The sequence below is a fragment of the Homo sapiens genome, chromosome 22, assembly GCF_000001405.40.
Source record: "Homo sapiens chromosome 22, GRCh38.p14 Primary Assembly".
NCBI lineage: Eukaryota > Metazoa > Chordata > Mammalia > Primates > Hominidae > Homo > Homo sapiens.
Genome location: NC_000022.11, coordinates 41,921,826 through 41,927,195, shown reverse-complemented (window position 1 = coordinate 41,927,195; position 5,370 = coordinate 41,921,826). Strand labels below are relative to the sequence as shown.

Genomic DNA, 5,370 nt, shown 5'->3' with positions numbered 1-5,370 from the left:
GTAATCCTAGCACTTTGGGAGGCCGAGGCAGGTGGATCACGAGGTCAGGAGTTCAAAACCAGTCTGACCAAGATGGTGAAACCCCGTCTCTACTAAAAATACAAAAATTAGCCGGGCGTGGCAGTGGGCGCCTACAATCTCAGCTACTCGGGAGGCTGAGGCAGAGAATTGTTTGAACCCGGGAGGCAGAGCTTGCAGTGAGCCGAGATAGCGCCATTGCACTCCAGCCTGGGCGACAGAGCGAGACTCCGTCTCAAAAAAAAAAAAAGAAAAGAAAGGGGGGCCCCAGGCGAGCTCGGTCCCACCCAGCAGGCGGGGGCGGGGCAGGGCAGAGTGCTCCCCCCGCCCCCCGCTTCCTCCCCGAGGGCCCCGGAGCCCAGCTCAGCCTCAGTCCCCGCAGCTTGTGCGGCGGCGTCGGCACCATGAGGCGAGGGCCCCGGAGCCTGCGGGGCAGGGACGCGCCAGCCCCCACGCCCTGCGTCCCGGCCGAGTGCTTCGACCTGCTGGTCCGCCACTGCGTGGCCTGCGGGCTCCTGCGCACGCCGCGGCCGAAACCGGGTAAGGGGGACCCACGGGGCGCGCGGCGCCGGCAGCTGCGGGGAGAACGGGGCCCCGATCGCCAGGGCGCAGGCAGAGCCCCGACCCCCGGGGGCGCCGAGGGCTGAAAGGACCCTGTGGGCAGGGCCTGGAGGGGCCCGCGATCACCGCGTGGCCCTCACCGCCGCCTCTCTCCCTCCCCTTGTCCACCGCCCCCCGGCTGTCCCTCCCCTCCCCGGCCAGCCTCGCCCCCCTCCGCCCCTCCCCGTCCCCGCTCCTCCCTCCCCTCGGCCCCCTGGCCTCCCTCCCTGTCCCCTCCCGAAGCAGCCGGGGCCAGCAGCCCTGCGCCCAGGACGGCGCTGCAGCCGCAGGAGTCGGTGGGCGCGGGGGCCGGCGAGGCGGCGCTGCCCCTGCCCGGGCTGCTCTTTGGCGCCCCCGCGCTGCTGGGCCTGGCACTGGTCCTGGCGCTGGTCCTGGTGGGTCTGGTGAGCTGGAGGCGGCGACAGCGGCGGCTTCGCGGCGCGTCCTCCGCAGAGGCCCCCGACGGAGACAAGGACGGTGAGTTCCGTGTGTAGGGGAACCAGTCTGAGCGGGGCGCAGGGGCTGGGGTGTCGGGACGGTCTAGGGGGAGATGCATGGCCCCTGAGGGGGAGAGAAGGGCTTTAAGGGGAAACGGAGACAGAGTGGAAAAGAGTTTGCGCTGAGGAGCTCAGGCTGGGGAGGGAGACATAGTCCTGCCCCTGAGACCCTGGTCGGAGCCAGGAACAGCTCTGCCCTGACAGACCCCAGTGTGAGGAAGAGACAGGTTGCAGGAAGGGGGCCCCGTCTGAGGGAGGAGTCTGTCCTGCCCTTTGGGAGTCTAACGGAGCTTGGTTCCCCCATAAATCCCTGAAGAGTTTGCCAGACTGAGCCCCAGCTCCCCAACTCCCTGCCCTGCCAGCTCCCCACTGGCCAGGCCTCTGGACTCAGGGTCAGCCAGGTGCCACCCCTCCCCACCCTGCATTGGGCTTCATTTGACGGAGGACTGCCCCTCCAGAGGAGTCTTCTAGGGGAGGGAGGGAAGGCTGTGACTGAGTACGGAGCCTCTACCCCCTCTGCCTGCAGCCCCAGAGCCCCTGGACAAGGTCATCATTCTGTCTCCGGGAATCTCTGATGCCACAGCTCCTGCCTGGCCTCCTCCTGGGGAAGACCCAGGAACCACCCCACCTGGCCACAGTGTCCCTGTGCCAGCCACAGAGCTGGGCTCCACTGAACTGGTGACCACCAAGACGGCCGGCCCTGAGCAACAATAGCAGGGAGCCGGCAGGAGGTGGCCCCTGCCCTCCCTCTGGACCCCCAGCCAGGGGCTTGGAAATCAAATTCAGCTCTTCACTCCAGCATGCACATGCCCTCTTTCTGGGACCAGGCTAACTCTGCAGAAGCACAGACACTACAGACCACAGCATTCAGCCCCCATGGAGTTTGGTGTGCTTGCCTTTGGCTTCAGACCTCACCATCTTTGACAGCCCTTGAAGGTGGTAGCCCAGCTCCTGTTCCTGTGCCTTCAAAAGGCTGGGGCACTATGAGTAAAAGACCGCTTTTAAAATGGGGAAGGCACCATTAAGCCAAAATGAATCTGAAAAAAGACCAAGTGGGAGGATGCCTAATTTGTAGTTGGGTGGTTTTTTGTGTTTGTTTGATTTTTTTTTTTTTTTTTTTTTTTTTTTTTTGAGACGAGTCTTGCTCTGTCGCCAGGCTGGAGTACAGTGGCGCGATCTCGCCTCACTGTAACCTCCGACTCCTTGGTTCAAGTGATTCTCCTGCCTCAGCCTCCCGAATAGCTGGGATTACAGGCACGCACCACCACAGCCAGCTAATTTTTGTATTTTTAGTAGAGACGGGATTTCACCATGTTGGCCAGGATGGTCTCGATCTCCTGACCTCGTGATCCGCCCTGCTCGGCCTCCCAAAGTGCTGGGATTACAGGCATGAGCCACCATGCCCGGCCTTGTTTTGTGTTTTGGTTTTTTTTGAGACAGGGTCTTGCTGTATCACGCAGGCTGGAGTGCAACGATGGGTCCCCAGCTAATTGCAGCCTGGGCTCAAGCAATCTTTCTGCTTCAGCCTCCTGAGTAGGTGGGACTACAGGTGCTCCACCTTGCCCAGCTAATTTTTTTTTTTTTTTTTTTTTTGAGACAGAGTCTCGCTCTGTCGCCTAGGCTGGAGTGCAGTGACGCAATTTCGGCTCACTTCAAGCTCCGCCTCCTGGGTTCACACCATTCTCCTGCCTGAGCCTCCTGAGTAGCTGGGACTATAGGCGCCCGCCATCACGCCCGGCTAATTTTTTTTGTATTTTTAGTAGAGACGGGGTGTCACCGTATTAGCCAGGATGGTCTCGATCTCCTGACCTCGTGATCCGCCCGCCTCAGCCTCCCAAAGTGCTAGGATTACAGGCGTGAGCCACCGTGGCTGGCCTTTTTTTTTTTTTAAAGACAGGGTCTCGGTATGTTGCCCAGGCCAGTCTCAAACTCCTGGCCTCAGGCAGTCCTCCCCGAAGGGCTGGGATTATAGGCAGGAGGCGCCGGGCCTGGCCTCTATTTCTTTAATACCTGCCCTCAGAGCCGTCCTGCTTTTAAACTGATGCAAATGGCAGCAGTGAATAATCAATTCATGGGTTCGCTTGCTTTGGGATTTAGTACAAGATTATTTTAAGAAATAACAAAGGAGAAAAGATTGAGCTGGATTTTGCTGATTCTCAGGTATCTGTACCCCAGGGTCAACCCTGAGATTGGCCCAATCTGCCAGAACCTAAGATGCCATTTTGACCCCAGTGGCAGCTTCCAGAGCCACAAGCCTGCATTTGGGAGGAGGTGCGCAGCCTCCAGGGCTGGACTCCAAACTCGAGCTGAAGGAACATGCTGGCAGGTAGCTCTCTCAGGGTCCACCTGGGGTTCCAGCTGCTCCAAGACACAGCACATTTAGCCATAAACATGGAAGGGCTGGGACCTACAGGAGGCTCCTTTGTGTAGAGGCCAGGGCAGGCGTGTGACCTTGAACCAGGTGGACATGAGGTCCCTTGAACTCCCTTCTCTCTCTGGCTTGTTCCCCTGAAGCACTGGCCCCCCAGTGCTGGGCTTATTTGGCCATCCTGTGCCAGCCCCCTGGTCACCCACCGTCACAGTGGAAGCTGCTCCCTCCTCTTACAATGGTGTTCCTTGCTCTGGGGTCTGGGGACAAGACCATCTCTTTCCACTCCTGGACGACACTGTGCACTCAGTCAGCCGCCTCCTACCTGCCCTCCTGCACAGGGTCAGAACCTCCTGACCTGGACTTCGCCCTGGGCAGCTTCCTTGGAACTTGTTGCAGCTTAGCATCTTTGGAAGGGAGCACTGGACTAGGAGTCAGAAGGTGGAGTTCTGGGTGCTGTTTTCCCACTCTTGGGCCCTGGGCATGTTCTGTTCTGTGCATCAGATGTTTTCTGCCTGCCTCCCCCTGAGCTGCCACCAGAGCCACCTGTAGACCCCTGCTTCTCCTGCCCCTCCTGTCCCTTGCCAGGCCTCTGGACTCAGTGCTTCCTGTCCCAAGGACCTGTTGTGTGCCCAGCTTGGAAGACAGTGGCCACTCACATCCAGGTCTCTGCCTGGCTATTTGCTCCATGAACCCATCTCAGATGCCCCTGCCCCCAGGGAGCCAGGTGACAGGGTGAGGTCAAGTGACAAGCAGTAGGTGTGGGAGAGGTTTGGTGGGGTCAGGCCCACATGGGCCCAGCCATCCACTCCCCTTCCATCTGGAGTTGGGGGAGTCTGAGCTGCTCCTGGCCACCCCATCTGCCCCACCCCATCTTTTCCTGGCCACCCCAGCTCCCACCCCATCTTCTCCTGGCCACCCCATCTCCCACCCCATCTTCTCTTGACACCCCATCTCCCACCCCATCTTCTCCTGGCCACCCCATCTCCCACCCCATCTTCTCCTGGCCACCCCATCTTCTCCTGGCCACCCCATCTCCCCCACCCCATCTTCTCCTGGACACCCCCATCTCCCACCCCATCTTTTGCTACAGCCAGGGTTAGCTCAGCAGGTGAAAACCCCGAGGGTGGGTGAAACCCCTCTGGGGCTCAGACATGCAAACCTTGGGCATCTCTCTGTCCCAGCTGGCCCCGCCAGCCGGTAGGAAGTTTCCCCTGAGTTCTCAGTTTTTTCTTCTGAAAAATGAGGGGTTGTATGCAAGGTTCTCCTCCTGGCCTGTGGTCCCCAGAGAAGGGCAGGAAGGAACCTTAGATAATTCTCATATGCATTTAACAGACGAGGAAACTGAGACCCAGAGCCGTCACATCAATACCTCATTTGATCTTCATAAGAGCACCTGGAGGAGGGGGGTGGGGTGTTTGTGTTTGTTTAAATTTTTTTTTGTGAAAAAAATGAAGATAGGCATTTTGTAGACAATCTGGAAGTTCTGGACCGGAATCCATGATGTAGTCAGGGAAGAAATGACCCGTGTCCAGTAACCCCAGGCCTCGAGTGTGTGGTGTATTTTTCTACATAATTGTAATCATTCTATACATACAAATTCATGTCTTGACCATCATATTAATATTTGGTAAGTTTCTCTCTCTTTAGAGACTCCACAATAAAGTTTTCAACATGGTAAGGTTTTCCACCTGGGCATTTGGATACTTTGGTTTTTGCTGTTGTGGCCAAGACGGCACAGGCCACATGCGCCTGTGCAGGAGTCTCTGTTTCCCAGCACAGTTGTTGCGCCAAAGGCCTTGACTTTTTTTTTTTTTTTTTGAGATGGAGTTTCACTCTTGTTGCCCAGGCTGGAGTGCAATGGTGCAATCTCGGCTCACCGTAGGC

At 58.2% G+C, this 5,370-nt stretch overlaps 1 protein-coding gene and 1 non-coding gene across 2 annotated transcripts, besides 4 other annotated features; both read left to right on the top strand.

The window, feature by feature from the left end:
* Window positions 330-1,069: a silencer, noted in NCBI's record as "silent region_13813". NCBI's record gives its function as "represses an Ori minimal core promoter by ATAC-STARR-seq in GM12878 lymphoblastoid cells {active_cell/tissue: GM12878}" and the evidence as "EXISTENCE:reporter gene assay evidence [ECO:0000049][PMID:35858748]".
* Window positions 390-5,164, top strand: TNFRSF13C (TNF receptor superfamily member 13C). The gene is made up of 3 exons (NM_052945.4): window positions 390-558; window positions 865-1,095; window positions 1,642-5,164. The coding sequence occupies exons 1-3, from the start codon at window positions 423-425 to the stop codon at window positions 1,827-1,829; spliced, it is 555 nt and encodes a 184-aa protein (NP_443177.1). The 5' UTR covers window positions 390-422; the 3' UTR covers window positions 1,830-5,164.
* Window positions 1,162-1,661: an enhancer, noted in NCBI's record as "H3K4me1 hESC enhancer chr22:42321539-42322038 (GRCh37/hg19 assembly coordinates)". NCBI's record gives its function as "activates a minimal SCP1, AML or CMV promoter by ChIP-STARR-seq in naive H9 embryonic stem cells {active_cell/tissue: H9 hESC(naive)}" and the evidence as "EXISTENCE:reporter gene assay evidence [ECO:0000049][PMID:30033119]".
* Window positions 1,662-2,163: an enhancer, noted in NCBI's record as "H3K4me1 hESC enhancer chr22:42321037-42321538 (GRCh37/hg19 assembly coordinates)". NCBI's record gives its function as "activates a minimal SCP1, AML or CMV promoter by ChIP-STARR-seq in naive H9 embryonic stem cells {active_cell/tissue: H9 hESC(naive)}" and the evidence as "EXISTENCE:reporter gene assay evidence [ECO:0000049][PMID:30033119]".
* MIR378I (microRNA 378i) lies at window positions 3,899-3,974 on the top strand. The gene has a single exon (NR_039760.1). It is a non-coding gene; the product is annotated as a microRNA 378i (primary transcript).
* Window positions 4,877-4,926: an enhancer, noted in NCBI's record as "active region_19142". NCBI's record gives its function as "activates an Ori minimal core promoter by ATAC-STARR-seq in GM12878 lymphoblastoid cells {active_cell/tissue: GM12878}" and the evidence as "EXISTENCE:reporter gene assay evidence [ECO:0000049][PMID:35858748]".

What these genes read in the sequence shown, in the direction of transcription:
- TNFRSF13C (NM_052945.4), top strand. Translation starts at nt 423, where the DNA reads ATGAGGCGAGGGCCCCGGAGCCTGCGGGGCAGGGACGCGCCAGCCCCC. An exon ending in CACGCCGCGGCCGAAACCGG is followed by an intron (nt 559 to 864) that starts GTAAGGGGGACC and finishes CTCCCGAAGCAG; the next exon opens with CCGGGGCCAGCAGCCCTGCG. An exon ending in CCCCGACGGAGACAAGGACG is followed by an intron (nt 1,096 to 1,641) that starts GTGAGTTCCGTG and finishes CTCTGCCTGCAG; the next exon opens with CCCCAGAGCCCCTGGACAAG.